Genomic DNA, 22,042 nt, shown 5'->3' on the forward strand with positions numbered 1-22,042 from the left:
GGTAAAGGTGCTGGGAAGGCCAAAGAGACTAACATTTATCCAGCACTTTCTAGATGCTGGATATCACAGAAGAATGTGTTATGTCCATTTCAGAGGTTAAATAATTTCCCCAGGGTCACACAGTAAACAGTAATGTTGAAATTTGTTTGCCAGAGTGTGGCTTCAGAGGAATCCGGGAGCACTTCCCAACGGTGTCTGTGGTTTTACGCAACAACAGGTAAGAGTACTGGACAGGACCTCAGAAAGTCCTCCAGTTTCACCCTCGCCTTTAGTCAGGTCGGCCTTGATTGACCAGAAGATCCACGGAAGGAAAGAGACTCCTCCAAGTTCACAGAGCAGGTGAGCTGGGCCAAGAGAAGTGAAAGAGCTGCAACTAAATACCAGGTTTTGCCACAGAGCAGGGATCCTTCCATTACATGGTCTTGTCAGCAAGACATTCAGAAAAGTACATGTTCCTACACATTTTTACTTCCTTTAAATCTGTATGGTTCCTCCCTTTATTTCTTTATTATTTATTATTATTATTTTTTTTTGGAGATGGAGTTTCGTTCTTGTTGCCCAGGCTGGAGTGCAACGGCGCCATCTTGGCTCACCGCAACCTCCGCCTCCTGGCGATTCTCCTGCCTCAGCCTCCCGGGTAGCTGGGATTACAGGCATGCACCACCACGCCCGGCTAATTTTGTATTTTTAGTAGAGATAGGGGTTCTCCATGTTGGTTAGGCTGGTCTCGAACTCCTGACCTTAGGTGATCCACCTGCCTCGGCCTCCCAAATTGCTGAGATTACAGGCGTGAGCCACCGCACCCGGCTGGTTCCTCCCTGTCTTGACCCACATTCGCAGACCACCCTTTGGTCAGGGTAATAATGATAAGTGTTTAAATGTGATAGGTTAGCATTTGGTTGTTGATCTGGTTTGGTTCAGAAGTGTGGTAACTGATGAAAAAAATGATTGACTGAAGCAGGTCTTTATTAAAGGATAATCCCCAGTTACCAAGCAGTACAGAAATGCGTGCGCATGGCCTGGCTCTCCTTCGCCCAGCGTCAACCCTGTTAATTCTGAAAGCTCAACACTGGCAGGATGTTGACCTTGCTGACTAATAAACTGCTAAAATTGAGAAGTGATTAAAAAAAAAATTATGGCCTGAAAATCCCAGCTGGGCAAGGAAAGAGGAACTAGACCGAATCCAAACGAAAAGCTGGGAAGGGTGTGAAACAGCCCTACAGGCCACCCAGCGCCAACAAATGTGTAAGGGTGGGGCCAAGCTAGCTGAGCCGCCCAAAGCAGCCAAAATATCCTGCCCCACCCGCTTCTCCGGCAAGGAAGGTGGCACTGTGCAACCTCGTCCGCACTGAATCCTCGTCCCTTCCCCCAGCCCCCGATCGCCAGCAAACGCAACCAGCGGGCAGCGGGTCTCGAGCTGCGGGGCCTGACTAGCCCCGACACTCCGCGTTATCCTCGGTCCAGAGCTTTCCCAGGCGCGCCGGCCACGGAGGACGCTTCTCTGCGGGTGACGGAGCTACTGCGGTGACCACGGCGGCCGCCACGTCTCCCGCCCGGCTTCCAACTGCCCTGGCCCCAGCGCCCTGGGGCCGTCCCCGCCCACGGGCCGCGGCTGCCCACACCTGGCGCCCGCGTGCTGCCTACCTTGCTCCTTCAGACTGGTAATGAGCTGCAGCTGCTTCTCTTCGTCCGAGCTGTTCATTTTGGCGGGTGGGGCCGGGAATAAAAGGGAAAGAGGGAGCGGCGCGGGGCACACAGGAGGAGGGGGAAGAAAAAGCAAGATGCCGGTGGCTTGCGGCTCCACTACCCGGAAGTTGGATCCGCTCCCGCTCCTCCTCCTCCTGGCGCGGAGCGCGCGAGTGAGATCATCCCCACGCACCTACTCGGCGGCTGCGGCCGCTTCACCTGCAGGCGGGGCGGGGCGGGCCCAGCAGTCCCGTTCAGGGGGTGGAGGAACGAGGGCGGGTCGGCAGCCGCTATGCCAGCCTGTGGCTGCCGGCGCGGCAGGACGCGCTGGTGGGAGGGGGGGCGGCCCTGCGTGGGGTCGCTCCGCACCCTTTTCTCCGCCTCCACCTCCCGGACTCAGGGACGCGAGTTCAGAGAAAACCGGCTGTGGGTTCGCAGCGTGTGTGGGAACTCCACTTTGGACGCTTCCCGGGGGTCGCTCCCAAAGAACCACAGAGGTAGAGCGGGACGCAATGAGCCATGAACGCCTGGGCTTCTTCCCTAGTTTTCCCGCAGTAGACTCTGGGGGCGCGGTTGCAAAACCTAGCTGCCCACAGGGGCGGGCCCAGGGTGGTACATTTTGCACCTTGAAGAGGAGACAAGGATCGAATCAGGCCGCCCAGCTACTTAAATGACCATGCCGTGAGTGAAGGAGGGCCCTGGCTAGCTTTCCCCCATCGCACCAGGTTTGCCAGGTGGTCAGAACGTGGACCCTGCTGCACGTGGATGGTGGGGCCTGGAGGGCCCTTGCAGATCATCTGGTTGGTGGCGGGATGACCTTCCCTTTAGAGAGGGTGCCACTGCAGTCCGAATGCCGAAGGTCACGCAGCCCCCGGGCAGCAGAGGCTGGCAGTTAAGCCAAGCGTTTGTCCCAGTTCACTGCCCTCTGAACTATTTGAACTCATGTCTGTGTTAGACCATGCCCAGGAGAGAAGTGGCAGGTCTGCATTGTTTCAAAGGTGCTTCTCCCCAACCCCTAGTTGCGAGCTAACCTTTGGTCAAGTCTCCTGCATCTTTGAACTTCATCTGAAGAATAGGAAGAATAGTGATACCTACTCTCAAGGAAGAGTTGTAAGGATTTAATAGAGGAAGATTAACAAAACACCAAGTCCAGAATTTATAATGCAGTTTTTTTTTGTTTTTTTTTTGTTTTTTTGTTTTTAATAAAGATTACAGGTCTGTGGCCGGGCACAGTGGCTCACGCCTGTAATCCCAGCACTTTGGGAGGCCAAGGCGGGCAGATCACGAGGTCAGGAGATCGAGACCATCCTGGCTAACACGGTGAAACCCCGTCTCTACTAAAAATACAAAAAATTAGCCGGGCGTGGTGGCAGGCGCCTGTAGTCCCACCTACTCGGGAAGCTGAGGCAGGAGAATGGCGTGAACCCGGGAGGCGGAGCTTGCAGTGAGCCGAGATCGCGCCACTGCACTCCAGCCTGGGTGACAGAGTGAGACTCCGTCTCAAAAAAAAAAAAAAAAAAAAATTACAGGTCTGTGAGAAAGGGGTTGTGGTTGCTGACTATAAGCTGAAGGTTGCAGTTCTTTTACACTGATCATTAAGCATGGGAGATAAGTCCAAACTGAATTAGACTTATTGCACAGCTTGGTTTTTCTCACTACCTCTAAGCTCTTAGTTTGGGTACAGCAACAGCACAGTGCTGCTCATTCCTCAATTGCTGTTTTATGGAAGTGCCCAGCTCCATTTCTTGTGTTCATTTCTCCATGATAGTTGTAGAGTGAGGTTGAGATATGGGTAAATCCTGTAACTAGTGTCTTTCTGATACTCACTACATGCTAACTAAAATTTTGAAAAAAAAAATGGTAGCACTGCTTTCTCTTTCTCTAAAATGGCAATATAGTACTTTAGCATGAGTGATTTAGGGGTAGAATGATCTAAAAGGGCAGCATAGTATTTTTTAATACAGTGTATTAAAATGTTTAAAGTTTAAAAATAATTTTGATATGGGATTGTATTATTCAGCCCTTTCCCTAGGTATGCGTAAGATAATTCAAGATAGTTGCAGATAGCTGCCATGAAGATCCCCAGGAGATAATAATAAAAAAATCCGGGAGATTTTAATGAAAAATAATGGACATTTAGCTTTTGTCCAGCAGTTGGGAAACCTGTTAAACCTGATGAGTCATCCTGACTCATTCTCTCTCACTCTACCAAATACAAGCAGAGTGCCCATTAAATATTTGGCTTAGTTCACAAAGTTCCATTTTTTTTTAATGGCTGATTTGTCTACTCCAATTATACAGTAGTTAGATAGTATTTCTGGAGTTTAAGAATGAGTTAATTATCAAATCTATAATCAAACTTTTGGTTCCATACTAAATCTGCGGCCTCTTGCAATTAATCCCATTTATCCTCCTTAAAATTAGAAAAGGCTCCTGAGCTGAGATTCTGCCACTGCACTGCAGCCTGGGTGACAGAGTGAGACTCCATCTCAAAAAAAAAAAAAAAAAAAAAAAAAACTCCTGAAATACAATATGGCATTCACTTGAGGACATGGTATGAATTATTAGGAGGGCTATTAGAGTCCTTATTGGGATTCAGTTCTCCCATTACACTATTGTTTATTTATATGATATGAATATTGATGGAAAGGATAGAAGTGATAAATTAGTTTTTGTTCCGTTTAATAATATACAGAGTGATGGCTATGGGAGGCCGAGGCGGGCAGATCACGAGGTCAGGAGATTGAGACCATCCTGGCTAACACGGTGAAACCCTGTCTCTACTAAAAATAAAAAAAGCTGGGTGTGGTGGCGGGCACCTGTAGTCCCAGCTACTCGGGAGGCTGAGGCAGGAGAATCACTTGAACCCGAGAGGCGAAGGTTGCAGTGAGCCGAGATCATGCCACTGCACTCCAGCCTGGGTGACAGAGCGAGACTCCATCTCAATAATAATAATATACATAGTGATTTATGTTGCAGGCATCACGTTGGAGTTACTATTGACCTCCAAATAACAGGTCATTTAAAACCCTTAAAAATGTGTGTGTTTACATATATATATACAAATATATACATAGAGATAAAGGACAGACTTTTAAAAAATGAATTGGAAGAATATGTGCCAAACTCAGGATAATGGCTGTCTCTAGGGATAGAAAGTAGGGGAACAGGACCAAGGTGTGGGGGTTGGAGTGTGAAAGTGCAGTGGTCAAGAAGGAGTTTCTCTTTAATCTTTATTTAATTTTTCAGGTAATTAAAGTAAAATCACATATGTCATCTTTTGAGGTATACAGATAAATAAGATTGAAATACAATGAGGAGAAGAAGGTTCACTGTCTTTGATCCACTAATTCTATATCAGGGAATCTATCCTAAAAGGCTTATGTACAGAGCTATTTAATGTAATGTTAATTATCATATGAAAATGGCAATATTGGAATATTATTTGGTAATAAAAATAAAGTACTGATATATGGTACAACACAGATGAAATTTGAAAACATTATACTCAGTGAAAACTTGATCAGAAAAGACCAGATATTGTATGATTGCACTTGTATAAAATGATCACAACAGGCAAATCCATAGAGGGAGAAAGTTGATTGGTGAGTATCTACTGAGGTGGGGTGAAAGTAGGGGAGGTCTGGGAGAAAACAGGGAATGGCTGCTGATAGGTGTGTGGTTAATTGTTGGGGTAATACAAATTTTCTAAAATTAATTGTGGTAATGGTTGTACAATTCTCTGAATATACTCAAAACTATAGAATTGGCCGGGCGCTGTGGCTCACGCCTGTAATCCCAGTACTCTGGGAGGCCAGGGCGGGTGGATCACCGGAGGTCAGGAGTTTGAGACCAGCCTGACCAATATGAAGAAACCCAATCTCTATTAAAAATATAAAAAATAAGCTGGGCGTGGTGGCACATGCCTGTAATCCCAGCTACTCAGGAGGCTGAGGCAGGAGAATCACTTGAACTCAGGAGGAGGAGGTTGCAATGAGCCGAGATCGTGCCATTGCACTCCAGCCTGGGCAACAAGAGCAAAATTCTGTCTCAAAAAAAAGAAAAGAAAAGAAAATATCAACCAAATATGCACAAAAGGAAAGGAGAAAGAAGTCAAAATGATTACCAAAAACATACACATTTTTTTAAAAACTAAGTATAAAATAAGGCAATAATGAAGCAAATGAAGAGCAAAAGAGCTATAAGACATATAGATAATACATAGCAAAATTGCAGAAATAAGTCATTTCTTATTAACTGTAACTTTAAATGAAGATGGCTTAAACTCTCCAAAAGGCAAACACTGGCAGGATGCAAAAAAAAGTATGATCTAACTATATGATGTCTACAAAATATTTATTTTAGATCCAAAGACAACAATAGATTTAAAGCAAAATGGTAGGAAAAAATTTAATTAGTAACCAAAAGAGAGTTGGGGTGGTTATATTAATATCAGACAAAACAGACTTTAAGTCAAAAACTGTTACAATAAACAAAAGTCTATATTCACAAAAGGGTTGATTCGGTAAGAATATATAATTACTATAAACATATATACAAGCTGGGCACGGTGGCTCAAGCCCGTAATCCCAGCACTTTGGGAGGCCGAGACGGGCAGATCACGAGGTCAGGAGATTGAGACCATCCTGGCTAACACTGTGAAACCCCGTCTCTACTAAAAATACAAAAAATTAGCCGGGCGTGGTGGCGGGCGCCTGTAGTCCCAGCTACTGGGAGGCTGAGGCAGGAGAATGGCATGAACCCGGAAGGCGGAGCTTGCAATGAGCCGAGATCGCGCCACTGCACTCCAGCCTGGGCGACAGAGTGAGACTGTCTCAAAAAAAAGGAAAAGAAAAAAAAAACTTATGGAATACCGTGAAGACAGTGCTCAGAGAGAAATTTATAGTTCTAATTACTACATTATAAAAGAAAGATACAAAATCAATAAGGTAACTGTACACCTTGAGAAAATAGACAAGCAAAATAAACCTAAAGTTAGCAGAAGGAATAAAATAATGAAGATTAGAGTGGAGATAAAATAAAAGACAATAGAAAAATAATAGAATTAATAAAAAGCTATTTCTTTGAAAGTATCAAAATTGACAATCCTTTCCCTAAATTAACGAAGAAAAAAAAGAAATATGAAAATCAGATATTAAAATGGGGACAGTAATACCAATGATTCAGAAATAAAAAGGATTCTAAGAGAATAATAAGAACAATTATATGTCAACAAATTAAATAACCTAGAAGAAATGGACAAATTCCCAGAAACACACAAGTCACCTAAACTAACTGAAAAAGAAAATTTCAGCAGAACTATTATAAGTAGAGTAATTCAGAAAGTATTAAAAAAAGAAAAGAAAAGAAAAGAAAGACACCCTTCAATGAAAATAAGTTCAGGCCCAGATGTCTTTCCTGGTGAATTCTATCAAACATTTAAAGAATTAACACCAGTCTTTCTCAAACTTTTCTAAAACACAAAAAAGGAGAGAACACTTCCTAACTCATTCTATGAGGCCAGCATTTCTGTGATACCAAAGCCAGATAAGGATATCACAAAGAAAAGAAATGTACACACCAATTTCTCTTATGAATATGGTTGCAAAAATCCTCAACAAAATACTAACAAACCAAATCCAACAACACATTAAAAGGATTATACACCACGACCAGGTAGTACTTATTCCAGGAATGCAAAAGTGGTTCAACATAAGAAAATCAATCAATGTAATATGTCACATTAATAGGAAAAAAACCAGGTGATCATCTCAATTGAGACAGAAAAGGCATTTGACAAAAGTCAGCATCGTTTCACCATAAAAACTCTTAGCAAACCAGTAATAGATGGAACATCCTCACCATGATAAAGGGCATCTGTAAAGAAGCCACAGCTATAATCATGGTCAATGGTGAAAGACTGAAAGCTTTCCCCCTGAAATTAGGAACGAGACAAGAATATGTGCTTTCATCACTGCTATTCAACAGTGTGCTGCAAGTTCAATTAGACAAGAAAAAGAAAGAAAAGGCATCCAAGTTGGAAAGGAGGACGTAAAGCTATCTCTATTCACATATGACATATAGCTATATAGAGAAAATCCCAAATAATCTGTGAAAAAGCTACTAGAGCTAATAGATGAATTCAGTAGTTTTAGCTGAATTTAGCTCTTAAGTTTAGGTCTTTGGTCCATTTTTAGTTAATTTTTGTTAGGCCTTTTCTACCTTCATACCAACTTCAGTCTTTTGCATGTGGATATCTACTTTTCCCAATACCACTTGTTAAATGGCTGTCCTTTCCCCATTGAGTGGTCTTGGTACCCTTGTTGAAAATCAACTGGTGATATACATGAGGATTTATTTTGGGGCTCTCTATTTTATTCTATTAGTCAATATGTCTGTCCTTATGCCAGTACCATCTCTATTCATAGATGGCAAAATTTCCTATGTGGAAAATACCAAAGAATTTCTTTAAATGCTTCTAAAACAAATACTTGAGTTTAGTGAGGTTACAGGATACAAGGTCAATAAGCCCTTGAAAAGATGCTCAACATCATTAGTCATTAGACAAATGCAAAAGTCAACTGTATTCCATACACCAGCAATGAACAATTAGAATTTGACATTAAAAATTAATAACATTTACAATAGCACTAAAAATACTGAAGCACTTAGGTATAAATCTAGCAAAATATGTGAAAGATCTAGATGCCAAAAAGTATAAAATGCTGATGAAAAAAATCAAAGAGTATCTAAATAAATGGAGAGATATATTATGTTCATGAATTAGAAAACTCAGGCGGGGCGCGGTGGCTCACGCCTGTAATCCCAGCACTTTGGGAGGCCGAGGAGGGCGGATCACGAAGTCAGGAGATCGAGACAATCCTGGCTAACACGGTGAAACCCTGTCTCTAATAAAAATACAAAAAATTAGCCAGGCGTGGTGGCGGGGCCTGTAGTCCCAGCTACTCCGGAGGCTGAGGCAGGAGAATGGCGTGAACCCGGGAGGTGGAGCTTGCAGTGAGCCGAGATCGCGCCACTGCATTCCAGCCTGGGCGACAGAATGAGACTCCATCTCAAAAAAAAAAAAAAAGAGAAAAAGGAAAAAAAACCCTCAATATTGCTAAAATGTCAATTCTTCCAAATTTAACCTATAGATCCAATGCAATCCCAATCCAAATCCAAGCTGATCATAAAATGTATTATGGAAAGGCAAAAAACAAAACAAAACAAAAACTAGAATAGCCAAAACAATTCTGAATAAGAACAAAGTTGGAGGACTCACGCTACCTGATTTCCAAGACTAACTATAAAGCTACAATAATTAAGACAATGTAGTATTGGCAAAAGGAAGATGCATTAACCATCCCAAAAGTTGATCCACACAAATATAGTGAATCACTTTTTTTCTGCAAAGTAACAAAACCAATTCAATGGGAAAAAAAAAGTCTTTTCAAAACTTGGTGCTAGATCAACTGGACATCCTTTCTTTTTTTTATAAAAAGGAGCCGCAACACATGCCTCATAGAAAAATTAACTCAAAATGGATAATAGACCAAAATGTAAAACCTGAAACAGTAAAACTTTAAAAATGAGACACAAGAGAAAAAACCGTGTAACCTAAAGTCTGGCAATTAGTTTTTAAATACGATGCCAAAAGCGTAATCAATAAAAGAATTGATAAATTAGATTTTATGAAAGATAAAAGAAACAGATTAACAATACCTGCCATAGATGAGGGAAAATATTTACAAATTACATATTAATTCACATTTTAAAAATCACATATTAATATTTTGTATCACACATTAAATAAATCACATATTAATATTTTGTATTCTAAATATTTAAAGTACTCTTAAAACTCCAACAATAAGAGCCAATGTAGTGGCTTGTGCCTGTAATTTCAGCTCTTCAGAAGGCTGAGCTGGAGGATTTTGAGCCTAGAAGTTTAAGGCTGCAGTGAACCACTGCATTCCAGCTTGGGCAACAGAACAAGACCCCATCTCTAAAAACTATATAAATTTTTTTAAAAATAAATATTAAAATAAGTCAAAAGTAAAAAAGATTAATTGGCAAAATATATAAACAGATACTTTACCAAAAGAAGTTTATTTATTTATTTATTTTTTGAGACTGAGTCTTGCTCTGTGTCCCAGGCTGGAGTGCAGTGGTACCATCTCGGCTCACTGCAACCTCTGCCTCCCTGGTTCAAGTGATTCTCCTGCCTCAGCCTCCCCAGTAGCTGGGCTACAGGCACCCGCCACCACGCCCACCTAATTTTTGTATTTTTAGTAGAGACAGGGTTTCACTATGTTGGCCAGGCTGATCTCAAACTCTTGATCTCAGGTGATCTGCCCACCTCGGCCTCCCAAAGTGCTGGGATTACAGGAATAAGCCACCATGCCTGGCCCAGAAAAATATTTTTAAATGGAAAATAAGCACATGAAAAGATGCTCAACATTATTTGTCACTAGTGAAATGCAAGTTAAAACAACAATGATATAATACTATGTATCTATTAGGATGGCTAAAATAAAAAAGGAACAATCCCAAATGCTGAGAAAGACACAGAGCAACAGTAACCCTCTTTAATTGCAGGTAGCTATTTTAAATGGTACAGCCGCTTTGAAAGACAACTTAGCAGTTCCTTATAAAATTAGAAATACATTTGCCATACAACTTGGTGGTTCCACTCCCGGGGCTTACCCAAATGAGCGGAAAACTTATGTTCACAGAAAAACCCATATACAAATGTTTATAACAGCTTTATTAATAATCACCAATAACTGGAAAAAGCCAAGATGTCCCTCAATAGGTGAATGAACAAATATATATATCTTCCAAATATGTGTGTGTGTATATATATATTTTTTTTCCATAAAATGGAATATATACATCAATTTTAAAAGAATGAGCTACTGAGTGGATACAGTGTATACAGATCTTGAATGCATTCTGTTAAATTTAATAATCCAGACCCAGAAGGCTATATACAATATGGTTCAATTTATATGACATCATGAAAAGGCAAAACTATAAAAATAAGAAACAGATCATGGCTACCAGGGGTTGAGGACGAATGGAAGGGTTGAATATAAAGGGGGAATACAAGGGAATTTTTAGGGTGATAGAATTATTCTGTATGGTACAGGGGTGTTGGATAGATGACTCAATGCACTTGTCAAAATCCAAAGAGGTATACATCCCAAAAATGGACTTTGCTGCATGCAAATTTAATAACAAGTCAGCCAAGATAGGGAAATCCCAGGATAGAATGCAGAAAATGACAAATAAATCGAACCATATTACTAATATATGACATTACCTTACTGAAGGGGAAGGGATGGGGGAAAGGATCTGACTTAAGAAACTTTGGATAACTGTACTTTGACTGGACACCGTAAGGCTGAAGACAAAAGGAACCATACATCAGCACCCTTCTAGCTGGCAAATCTACCTCTCTCTAGAGTATGGGTTAGCAATTCTCAAACTACTCTACATGTAGGGTAGGGTTGAATAAATAAGTAAATCAACTGTAGATAATGGGAGGCAGGTTTCTCACCATAAGAGAAAGAAGTTACAGTCAGTTCTGCTACAACACAACTTATGTGTTCTTAAAAATTATTATGCTGTGCAAAATTGTACAATAAAAACCATAGGTCTCATGGGAAAAATGAAGCTAGTAGCACAACATTTAAAAACTTATTCAGTGAAAGATTAGAACAAAAATAGGAACCTAATTTTAAAATAGTACCATAGTTTTATATAAGAAATGATTAAGAAATGCATAATGCTACAATCAATGTGGTATTTTAGTTTTAAAACACCTAAAGTTTGTGAACATAGGCATCATAAAGGCTACAGCTTTTGAGTTACTGCAAAGTGATGGAAGAAGGGTTATTTGAAATCCAATGGGAAAGTTGTAACAGCACATGTGGATGGGTGTGGCTCATTATCCTTGGTTTTGTGGTTGGATTCAAACATCACAGTACTTTCAAAGTCTTAAATCCTGAGGCATTTTTTTTTTCCCTGACTGATTTGCAGGTCCTTCAAGGAAGGCATTTGTAACAGATATCTGTTTCATCTAAGTTAGAATTTCAATCCAATAAATGGCCTTCTTCTTAATTAACTTCTGTGTCACTGTTGGACTTCTTTGCTACTTTCTCAGCTGTACTTGCCTTTCCCAGCTGGACTCTGGCTCTGCTGACAGCTGAAGGCTTTGGAAATTGTAGTAATTTTTTTTGTTTGTTTTGGTTTTTTGTTTTTGTTGTTGTTTGTTTGTTTTAAGATGGAGTTTTGCTCTTGTCACCCAGGCTGGAGTGCAATGGCACGATCTCAGCTCCCCACAACCTGTGCCTCCCAGGTTCAAGCGATTCTCCTGCTTCAGCCTCCTGAGTAGCTGGGATTACAGGCATGCACCACCACGCCTGGCTAATTTTGTATTTTTAGTACAGACGGGATTTCTCCATGTTGGTCAGGCTGGTCTCGAACTTCCAACCTCAGGTAATTCGCCTGCCTCAGCCTCCCAAAGTGCTGGGATTACAGGCGTGAGCCACCGTGCCCGGCCTGTAGTAATGTTTGAAACCACAAATCCAGCCACTATCTACACTAAATGGAACCACTTCTGCAAGATGTGGCAATTTCTTTGAAAGTCTTCATATACAGTGCTTTCTTTCTGATTGTAGGAAAAAATGTTCCTGTTTGGTTTTCAATTCAAATGCTCAACAATCTTTCTATTTCTTCTAATTCTTCAGGCTGTGTTCCTATTGACTCTATAGCATTTGAAGTTAAGCCATCATAGATGTTTCTTTTGTTTTCACGGTATTGTTCTTCAAGGTCCTCAATGTGGATTCCTTTATGCTTGAAAGATGTTATGCTATTTTGTTTTTTGATAAACACTTCATTATTTCAAGTTTCTCCTCAATACCTAAAGCTTTCTTTTTGCATTCACTGCTTAGCATTTTTGAACCACACATTTAGATGTGTTTGAGGTATATATATTTCTCACTGCTTCACAAATGTGAAAGAATAGCATTCTTATACAGATTCACAAATGTAAACAAATAGCACTCTTACACAGGTTCAAAAATGTAAAAGAATGGCATTCTTTTACAGGTTCACAAATGTAAAAGAATAGCAAAACATAACCTTATTGGATAATACATATGATGAACTAAGGTAGTTGTAGATGTTTGAGGCGTATGTGTGTCTGTGTGTGCGTTTTATGTATCCCAATTTGGCTTGATTTAGATGGATGCAATTTTCTCTGTTCATCTAGTGTTCCTCAAGGATGAAATCATACAAAAGAAATGTGAAATATGTACCATGCTCAAATTATTCCTTTTGTTTGTTTGTTTGTTTGAGACTGAGTCTCGCTCTGTCACCTAGACTGGAGTGCAGTGGTGCAATCTCGGCTGTCTGCAACCTCTGCCTCCTGGCTTCAAGCGATTTTCCAGACTCAGCCTCCTAAGTAGCTGGAACTACGGGCGTGTGCCACCACGCCCGGCTACTTTTTGTATTTTTAGTAGAGGCAGGGTTTTACTATGCTGGCCAGCCTGATCTTGAACTCCTGACCTTAGGTGATCTGCCTGCCTCAGCCTCCCAAAGTGTTGGGATTACAGGCGTGAGCCATCGCACCTGGCCAAATTATTCCTTAATATATCAGTTGCACTGGAATAAAACAAACATTGTATCAGAATTAACATAAGAAAGGAAGGCTAGAATGAACCCTATGGTGCTAGAGAGATATCAGTATGAACTCATGTTGATATTAATATATACAAATAGGTACATACATAAAGGTATATGTATATGCATGGGTTAATGTACATATACATAATTATATCCTAGTTTTGTCCACTGAGAAGGCCTAGAAACAGTGATAAACCACAAGCATGAGCATAGCCAAAACCCAGATCTTGGTTTCTGAATACCATTCTCTAAGAGAAAGAATCAGGGCTCTTTTGAGAAATGGCTGATTCTAAGGCTGTGGCAGGAGGTCTACAAGATGAACCTAGAGCATCTTGTAGTGCCAGAAAAAGAAAAGAAGAAAAGATGTAGGGCATGTCAAAAGGACTCAGGAACCAACCTGAAAGAGCTCTCAACAGCTGCAGTTAGAAAAATTTGAGCAACAAAACAAATAACAAGGCCGGGCGCGGTGGCTCACGCCTGTAATCCCAGCACTTTGGGAGGCCGAGGAGGGCGGATCACGAGGTCAGGAGATCGAGACCATCCTGGCTAACACGGTGAAACCCCATCTCTACTAAAAATACAAAAAATTAGCCGGGTGCAGTGGCGGGTGCCTGTAGTCCCAGCTACTCGGGAGGCTGAGGAAGGAGAATGGCGTGAACCCGGGAGGCAGAGCTTGCAGTGAGCCGAGATCACGCCACTGCACTCCAGCCTGGGCGACAGAGCGAGACTCCGTCTCAAAAAAAAAAAAAAAAATTAAATAAAATAACAGTAGTATTACAATCTAACCAAAAGATTAGATAAATATCCATGAGTTCATACTGATATAAATAAATGATTAAGTAGAAAATTAATGAGGAAGAAGGAAAAAAGTGTTATTTTAGATTTCCAACTAATGTATGTAAATATACCCCCGCAGGGGTTGGAGTATAACTCCCCTTTCCTTGAGTGTAGGCTGGATTCAGTCACTTGCTTCCAAAAATAAGAGATGGAAGAAGGAAAAATAGCAACCTTACAGTGGCGAATCCTAGCAGACGGCAGTTTAACTAAGTGATCAAGGTTAACATCAATAGTGGTAAGTCATATTTATTAACTTACATTGATATGACGCAATGAGAAATACACCTCTCTTCCGTGGTATTTTTCCTAAAACCCATAACCCCAGTCTAATAATAATAATAAAAAAAGAAAGACAAACACAACTTGATGGACATTTTACAAAATACCTGCCCCATAATCTTCGAAACTGCTAAGACCACAGAAAACATGGGAAGACTAAAAAACTGTCACAGACCAGAAGGGACTAAGCAGACATGATGACTACAATTGATGTAGTATTCTGGACTGGATCCTGGAACAGAAAAAGGGCATTAGTGAAAAAATGAGTAAAATCCAAATCAAGTCTCTAGTTTGGTTAAGAGTATTATACCAATGTTAATTTCTTAGTTTTGACAAATGTACTGTGGTTATGTACCCAGTGGGCTGGGTGAAGAGTATACAAGAATTCTAGGTATACTCTGTATTATTTTTGCAGCTTTTCTGTAAATCTAAAATTATTCCAGAATAAGAAGCTACACATCAACTGGCATCTACCATATTAACATAGTAAAAATGAAAACCTGTAATATCATCTCAATAGATTTAGAAAAAAAGCATTTGAAAATATTCAATATCAATTCATGATGAAAACTAACAGCAAACTAGAAGTAGAAGGGAATCTACTCAATCTGATAAAGGGTGTATGTGTATTTTTTTTAAAAAAAAAAAAAAAAGGAAAATATTTTTCTCCCCTTAAGATTGGATGTCTGCTCTCACCATTTTTTTTTTTTTTTTTTTTTGAGATGGAGTCTTGCTCTGCTACCCAGGCTGGAGTGCAGTGGCACCATCTTGGCTCACTGCAACCTCTGACTCCTGGGTTCAAGCAATTCTCCTGCCTCAGCCTCCTGAGTAGTTGGGATTACAGATGCTCGCCACCATGCCCAGCTAATTTTGTATTTTTTCAGTAGAGAGGGGTTTTCACCATGTTGGCCAGGCTGGTCTTGAATGCCTGACCTTGTGATCCGCCCACCTCAGCCTCCCAAAGTGCTGGGATTACAGGCGTGAGCCACTGCGCCTGGCCTGCACTCACCACTTTTATTGAACATCATACTGGACATCCTAGCCAGTACAGTAAGGAAGAAAAAGAAATAAAATGCATACAAACTAGGAAGGAAGTTAAATAGTCTTTATCCACAAGTGACATAATTATACATATAGAAAAACTACAGGAATTTTCAAAAAAGCTACTAAAATGAACAAATGGACTTACTAAAGTCACAGGATACAGATCATTATAAAAAATTACTTGTATGTCTATGAAATTGCAACTAATGACTAGAAACTGAAATTTTAAAAAAGATTCCATTTACATTAACAGTTAAAAAACTAAAATAATTTAATTTTTTTTTTTTCTTTGAGACTAGATCTCACTCTGCCACCCTGGAGTGCTCTGGTGCAAACACAGCTCACTGCAGCCTCAACCTCCTGGGCTCAAGTGATTCCACCATCTCAGCCTCCAGAGTAGATGAGACCACAGATGCAAGCCACCACACTTAGCTAATTTTTAAAAGTTTTGTAGAGACAGGGCCTCACCGTGTTACCCAGCCTGGTGTCAAACTCCTGGGCTCAGGCAATCCTCCTACTTTGGCCTCTCAAAGTGCTGGGATTACAGGCATGAGCCACCACACCTATCCTTAAAAACATTTAAAAAAAAATAGCTTTAACACAAAAATTGTACAATATCTATATATTGAAAAAGAAAAGAAAACAGGCTGGGTGTGGTGGCTCCTGCTTGTAATCTCAGTGCTTTGGGAGGCCAAGGTGGGAAAACTGCTTGAGGCCAGAGGTTCAAGACCAGCCTGGGCAACACAGTGAGACCCTGTCTCTACGAAAAGTAGCTGGTCATGTAGCACATGCCTGTAGTCCCAGCAACTTGGGAGCCTGAGGTGGGAGGACCACTTGAGGAGGTTAAGGTTACAGTGAGCTATGATCATGCCACTGCACTCCACAGTGGGTGACAGAGTGAGCCCTTGTCTCAAAAAAAAAAAAAAGAGAAAAAGAAAAGGAAAACAAACATTGCTGAGACATAAAAGAAGACACAAGTATTTAAAGAGATATACCATGCCCAGTATATTGGTATGGTATGGATTGGAAGACTTAATATAGTTCAAATGCCAAATTCATCTACAGACGTGATGTAATTTCAATCAAAATTCCAGCAGGCTTTTTTGTAGAAAATAAAAAATTGGTTCTAAAATGTATGGCAAGGCAACAGATCTAGAATAACCAAAAAATCTTGAAACAAAAGAATAAACTTAGTTCATATATGCAAAAGGAATTGAAGACTTAAACTACAATCAAGACTGTCTGGAATTGGCATAAGAAAAGACTTACAGGTCAATAGAAAAATAGAGAGAAGTCCGGGCACGGTGGCTCATGCCTGTAATCCCAGCACTTTGGGAGGCCGAGGCAGGCAAATCACTTGAGGTCAGGAGTTGGAGACCAGCCTGGCCAACACGGTGAAACCCTGTCTCTAATAAAAATTAAAAAAAAAAAAAAATTAGCCAGGCATGGTGACACGCGCCTGTAATCCCAGCTACTCAGGAGGCTGAGGCAGGAGAATCACTTGGAACCTGAGTGGCAGAGGTTGCAGTGAGCTGAGATGGTGTCACTGCCCTCCAGCCTGGGCAACAGAGCAAGACTCCGTCTCAAAAAAAAAAAAAAACCCACACTTATAAAGTCATCTTATTTTCAATAAAAGTGCTAAAATAATGGGGAGAAGAAAGTCATTTCAACAAACAGAATGCCTGAATATTGATAAAGAAAAGAACAAACCTCAATTCCTACCTCCACCATATTAAAAAAAAAACTAATTCAAGAAAAATCATGGACCTAAATATACAGGAAAAAGATATGAAGTTTCTAGAAGAAAACACAAAACAGCATCTTCTCAACCTGAGGGAAGCAAAAGTTTCTTAGACAAGATACAAAAGCAACAAAATTTTACAAAATGATAAATTTGACTGTAAAAATTAAAAGTTTTGCTCGTGACATCATTTAAAAAATAAATACACTATCCACAGACAGTGGAAAATATTTGCAAGACATATATCTAAAATACAACCAGTATCTAGGACATATAAAGAGCTTCTACTCAATAATAATACAACTCAGTAATTAAAAAAAAACCCAATAAAAATGAGCAAAAGGTTCACAAAGGAAGATATATAAATGGCCAATATGCATTGAAAGGATAAACATCAGCAGTCATCAAGGAAATACAAGTAAAAACCACAATGATGGCCAGGCGCGGTGGCTCACGCCTGTAATCCCAGCACTTTGGGAGGCCAAGGTGGGCGGATCACCTGAGCTCAGGAGTTCAAGACCAGCCTGGCCAACATGGTGAAACACCATCTCTACTAAAAATACAAAAATTAGCCGGGCGTTGTGGTACGTGCCTCCCTTCCTCCCTCCCTTCCTCCTTTCCTCCCTCCCTTCTTTCCCTACTGGGGAGGCTGAGGCAGGAGAATCACTTGAACCTGGAGGTAGAGGTTGCAGTGAGCAGAGATCATGCCACTGCACTCCAGCCTGGCAACAAAGTGAGACTTCATCTCGAAATTATAAAGACTGACAACACCATGTTGATAATGGTAAGATTAAATGAGAATTCTGATACATTCTTAGTGAAATGTAAAATGGTATATGCATGTTGGAAATTTTCATACCATAAAATTCATTCATAAAACTATAAGTGTATAATTCACTTTTAGTAAATTCATAGTGATGTGCAACCATCACCACAATCTAATTTTAGTGGCAGTTTGCTATAAAAATGTAATATGCATGTACCTTATGACATAGCAGTTTCACTCCTATGTATTTGCCAGAGAAAAATGAAAATATTTTATCCATACAAGAACTTATAGACAAATATTCACAGTAATTTTAGTTATAATACCAAAAACTAGAAAAAGTACAACGGTCTATCAACAAATTAATAGATAAACAAATGGAAGTATGTCCATCTGTGATGGTTAGTTTTAGTTTTATGTAGCAATTTGGCTGTGGTATAGGACTTAGCTAGGGAATAGGACCCGGTTATTTAATCACTTTATTGCTGTGAAGATATTTTGTAAATGTGATTTACATCTATAATCAGTTAAAGTAAAGCGGATTACCCTCCATAATGTGGGTAGAACCTCATCCAACCCAATAAGGCCTTAAGAGCAAAACCAGATCTCTCTGAGAATTTCTGCCACAACACTATATCATTAATTCCTGCTTGAGTTTCCAACCTATTGGCCTGCCTTCTAGATCTTGGACTCCTGACTATATCTCTATATATAGTCTGCCTGAATCTCTAACGTGATACACCATCCAATAAAATACTAATCAAAAATAAAAGGAACAAACTACTTACACATACAACACTTTGAATGAATATTTTTTGAGACTGTGCAGTTCAACTTTTTATTTTAATAAAACCAGAATATGCACAGTACATGCAGTGCTAATATCTAAACCAATACAATAAACAATTACTAAAGCTACAGTGACTTGAGGTTCAATCTTTACGTTCAGCAAGTTTAAATCCTTACACTATTTTTGAAACCTTATTTATTAGTTGAAAATATTGCTTGCTGATGAAACTTGCTTAAATGCTATTGCTGAATGTATAAGTCACTGATTATGCCAATACATCAAAGATAACCACGTTTGAGGATTGCAATATGCCATGAAAAAAAAAATACACACAACTAAACAAAACTCACACAACAAACATCTGAGAATCTAGACACTTCGTATTCAGTGTTTTGAAGTGTTTCATTAATATCTTAAAACATGTGTAGGCCGGGCACAGTGGCTCATGCCTATAATCCCAGTACTTTGGGAGGCCGAGGAGGGAGGATCACTTAAGGTCAGGAGTTCGAGACCAGCCTGGCCAACATGGTGAAACTTCGTCTTTATTAAAAATACAAAAATTAGCCAGACATGGTGGCAGGTGCCTGTAATCCCCGCTACTTGGGAGGCTGAGGCAGGAGAATCACTTGAAGGGAAGGGAAGGTTGCAGTGAGCCAAGATTGCACTCCTGCACTCCAGCCTAGGTGACAGAGCAAAACTCTGTCTAAAATAAACAAATAAATAAATGCAAGTGTATCAAAACCTTGGCATGATTTAATTTCAAGTCTCCAATTTATTTTTACTGACATCAGAAAGTTATGGCTACACTGCCAATGCCAGGTCTGCTTAATTTGACTTAAGAATTTAATATGACAACATTAAAAGCTCATGCTACCCCAAAATATATAATTTCACACATATGGTGACATTCAACATTCAAGTGCCAGTGTTTTTATACTGTCTTTTGGTCAAGTTTCTTTAAACTTTCAAAGGACCACTTTTAGGCTTACAAAAATAAGTCTTTGTCAAAATGTTCAATAAATATTACATAAAACTAGCAGCAAAATGTATCTAGAAATCTGTCACGTGCAAATAGTTTTCTCCTCAACTATCATTCCCATGGTCCCAAATAAATTTTAGAATCTAGTCCCATCCCCTTCCTAGATGAGCTGCATTCAACAGTCTCCAAGAGACAAAATAAGATTGGAAGTTTAAGGACATGCATACCAGACATATATATATGAAATTCTCTGAATGTGCAATAAAAGAAGTACTTTGTAAAAAGTTATGGGCAAAATGTACAAGGGCATACACCTAGACTAATTGAAATAGCACCATAACAAATGACCTCAATCCTGTCAAGTACACCTACTTAAAGTTTTAGAACAAGGCAGAATACACTTGAAAATCTATTGCACTTTGGGAAATTTTTGCCGTCTTCCTATGCCACTGTAAAAAGATTGAGCGTTTTGATCACCACATTCTGGCCACAAAATTAGAACAGAATTCAAAGTGGCAGAGGCCATTTTAGTGGTGGACAGTGCTCATCTTTGGCCAGATTTAGCATAAACAGACTATAAATACAATGGAAACCTATGCAACTAAAACTGACTAAAACTGCACTGCAGAGCAGAATTGACACCTTGTGTAGTTATATACGTATTTCCAACCTGTGTGATCTCAAAGATTTCAGTTTGTTACTCTTCTGAAGCTGTTTTTACAAAGTCTATAGTAAATCAGTTCAACATCTCAACTCAGCTTGAACAGAGTAATATGAATTGGCATTTAAAATAAAGCCTGCTGCATAATTCTTCCTGTTCATACCAAACAACATCAATGCTAGCATGCATTATTAGACCAAAAATCATCCGGGGCCCTAATGAGGGCTGGTTATTGCTGTGGTCAGGCACTCTGAATTTTTTTAAAAATTATGCTGAATGGAAGCGGCCTTACACAAGAGTACACGTTCCATTTTATGAAATTCTAGAATAGACAAAACTAACCTATAGTAAAAGCATTTCTGAACAGAGTTGCCTCTGAAGGACTGGGTCAGGGATTGACTGAAAAAGAGCATGAAGCAATTTTCTGGGGTTGTTAGTGTTCAATATCTTGATAGAGGTTTAGGTTGTACAGATGTATACACTTGTCAAAACTTTTCTTTTTTTTTTTTTTTTTTTTTTTTGAGACGGAGTCTTGTTCTGTCGCCCAGGCTGGAGTGCAGTGGCGCAGTCTCGGCTCACTGCAAGCTCCGCCTCCCGGGTTCACGCCATTCTCCTGCCTCAGCCTCCCGAGTAGCTGGGACTACAGGCGCCCACCACCACGCCTGGCTAATTTTTTATATTTTTAGTAGAGACGGGGTTTCACTGTATTTGTTAGCCAGGATGGTCTCGATCTCCTGACCTCGTGATCCGCCCGCCTCAGCCTCCCAAAGTGCTGGGATTACAGGCGTGAGCCACCGCGCCCGGCCTACATGTAAATTTTACCTTAAAGAAAAAAAAGGATCATCAGCAAATATTGAACTATAGTTGAGCTACACATGCTGAAGTAGTTAGGTTAAAATATACTGAAGTCTTCAACTTGCTTTGAAATACATTTTTAAAATGAGATGGATTGATGGAGGAATACAGGAGTAGATGAATGCATATGTAATAAAACAGACAAAAATGTTAATTGTAGAATCCAATAGGAATATAGATGGTTATTCACTGTACAATTCTTTCAACTTTTCTGTATACTTGAAAACTTAATAAAATTTTGGGGAAAAAAACATACAATTTACAATATCATCAAAAAATGCAAGACCTGGGACTCGGATGGAGCAAGATGGCAGAAGAGAAGACTCCACTGATAGTTGCCCCTTCAAGGACACCAATTTAACAACTATCTACACACAAAAACACTTTCATAAGAACCAAAAATCAGGTGAGAACTCACAGGACCTGGTTTTAACTTCATATCACTAAAAGAGGCACTGGAGAGGTAGGAAAAACAGTCTCGAATCACTAATGCCACCCCTCACCCATCCCCTGGCAGCAGAGGTGTGGTGCAGAGAGTGTTTCTGTGTCCCATGGAGAGGGATTGACCCAGTACTGCCTTATAGCAGGAAACAAATCAAACCAAACTCAGCTGATGCTCACCCATGGAGGGAGCATTAAAGCCAGCCCTGGGCAGAGGAGAATTGCCGATCCCAGTAGTACGAATTTGAGTTCCTGCAAGCTTCGCCACTGTG

General features: G+C 40.2%; 1 protein-coding gene across 5 annotated transcripts in view, besides 5 other annotated features; it reads right to left on the reverse strand.

The window, feature by feature from the left end:
* Positions 1 to 22,042, reverse strand: part of SHTN1 (shootin 1) — a 245,110-nt gene that overhangs the window by 121,901 nt on the left and 101,167 nt on the right. For 4 of the 5 annotated variants that reach the window (NM_001258298.2, NM_018330.7, NM_001127211.3 and 1 more), the window contains exon 1: positions 1,645 to 1,810. The exons of the other annotated variant lie outside the window; for it this stretch is intronic. Coding sequence is in view for 3 of the 4 variants with exons in the window: in NM_018330.7 (NP_060800.2) it covers positions 1,645 to 1,702 (58 nt within the window). In the remaining variant the exon portion in view is untranslated. Of the gene's footprint in view, positions 1 to 1,644; positions 1,811 to 22,042 lie in introns of those variants that run through there. 5 annotated transcript variants of the gene reach the window in all.
* Positions 893 to 1,586: an enhancer, noted in NCBI's record as "H3K27ac-H3K4me1 hESC enhancer chr10:118763781-118764474 (GRCh37/hg19 assembly coordinates)". NCBI's record gives its function as "activates a minimal SCP1, AML or CMV promoter by ChIP-STARR-seq in primed H9 embryonic stem cells {active_cell/tissue: H9 hESC(primed)}" and the evidence as "EXISTENCE:reporter gene assay evidence [ECO:0000049][PMID:30033119]".
* Positions 893 to 1,695: a biological region, named in NCBI's record as "Sharpr-MPRA regulatory region 1976".
* Positions 1,401 to 1,695: a silencer, noted in NCBI's record as "tiled region #1976; K562 Repressive non-DNase unmatched - State 1:Tss". NCBI's record gives its function as "represses a minimal TATA promoter and a strong SV40 promoter by Sharpr-MPRA in K562 cells {active_cell/tissue: K562}" and the evidence as "EXISTENCE:reporter gene assay evidence [ECO:0000049][PMID:27701403]".
* Positions 1,567 to 1,676: a silencer, noted in NCBI's record as "silent region_2856". NCBI's record gives its function as "represses an Ori minimal core promoter by ATAC-STARR-seq in GM12878 lymphoblastoid cells {active_cell/tissue: GM12878}" and the evidence as "EXISTENCE:reporter gene assay evidence [ECO:0000049][PMID:35858748]".
* Positions 1,907 to 1,986: a silencer, noted in NCBI's record as "silent region_2857". NCBI's record gives its function as "represses an Ori minimal core promoter by ATAC-STARR-seq in GM12878 lymphoblastoid cells {active_cell/tissue: GM12878}" and the evidence as "EXISTENCE:reporter gene assay evidence [ECO:0000049][PMID:35858748]".

The sequence above is a fragment of the Homo sapiens genome, chromosome 10 (genome assembly GCF_000001405.40).
Source record: "Homo sapiens chromosome 10, GRCh38.p14 Primary Assembly".
NCBI lineage: Eukaryota > Metazoa > Chordata > Mammalia > Primates > Hominidae > Homo > Homo sapiens.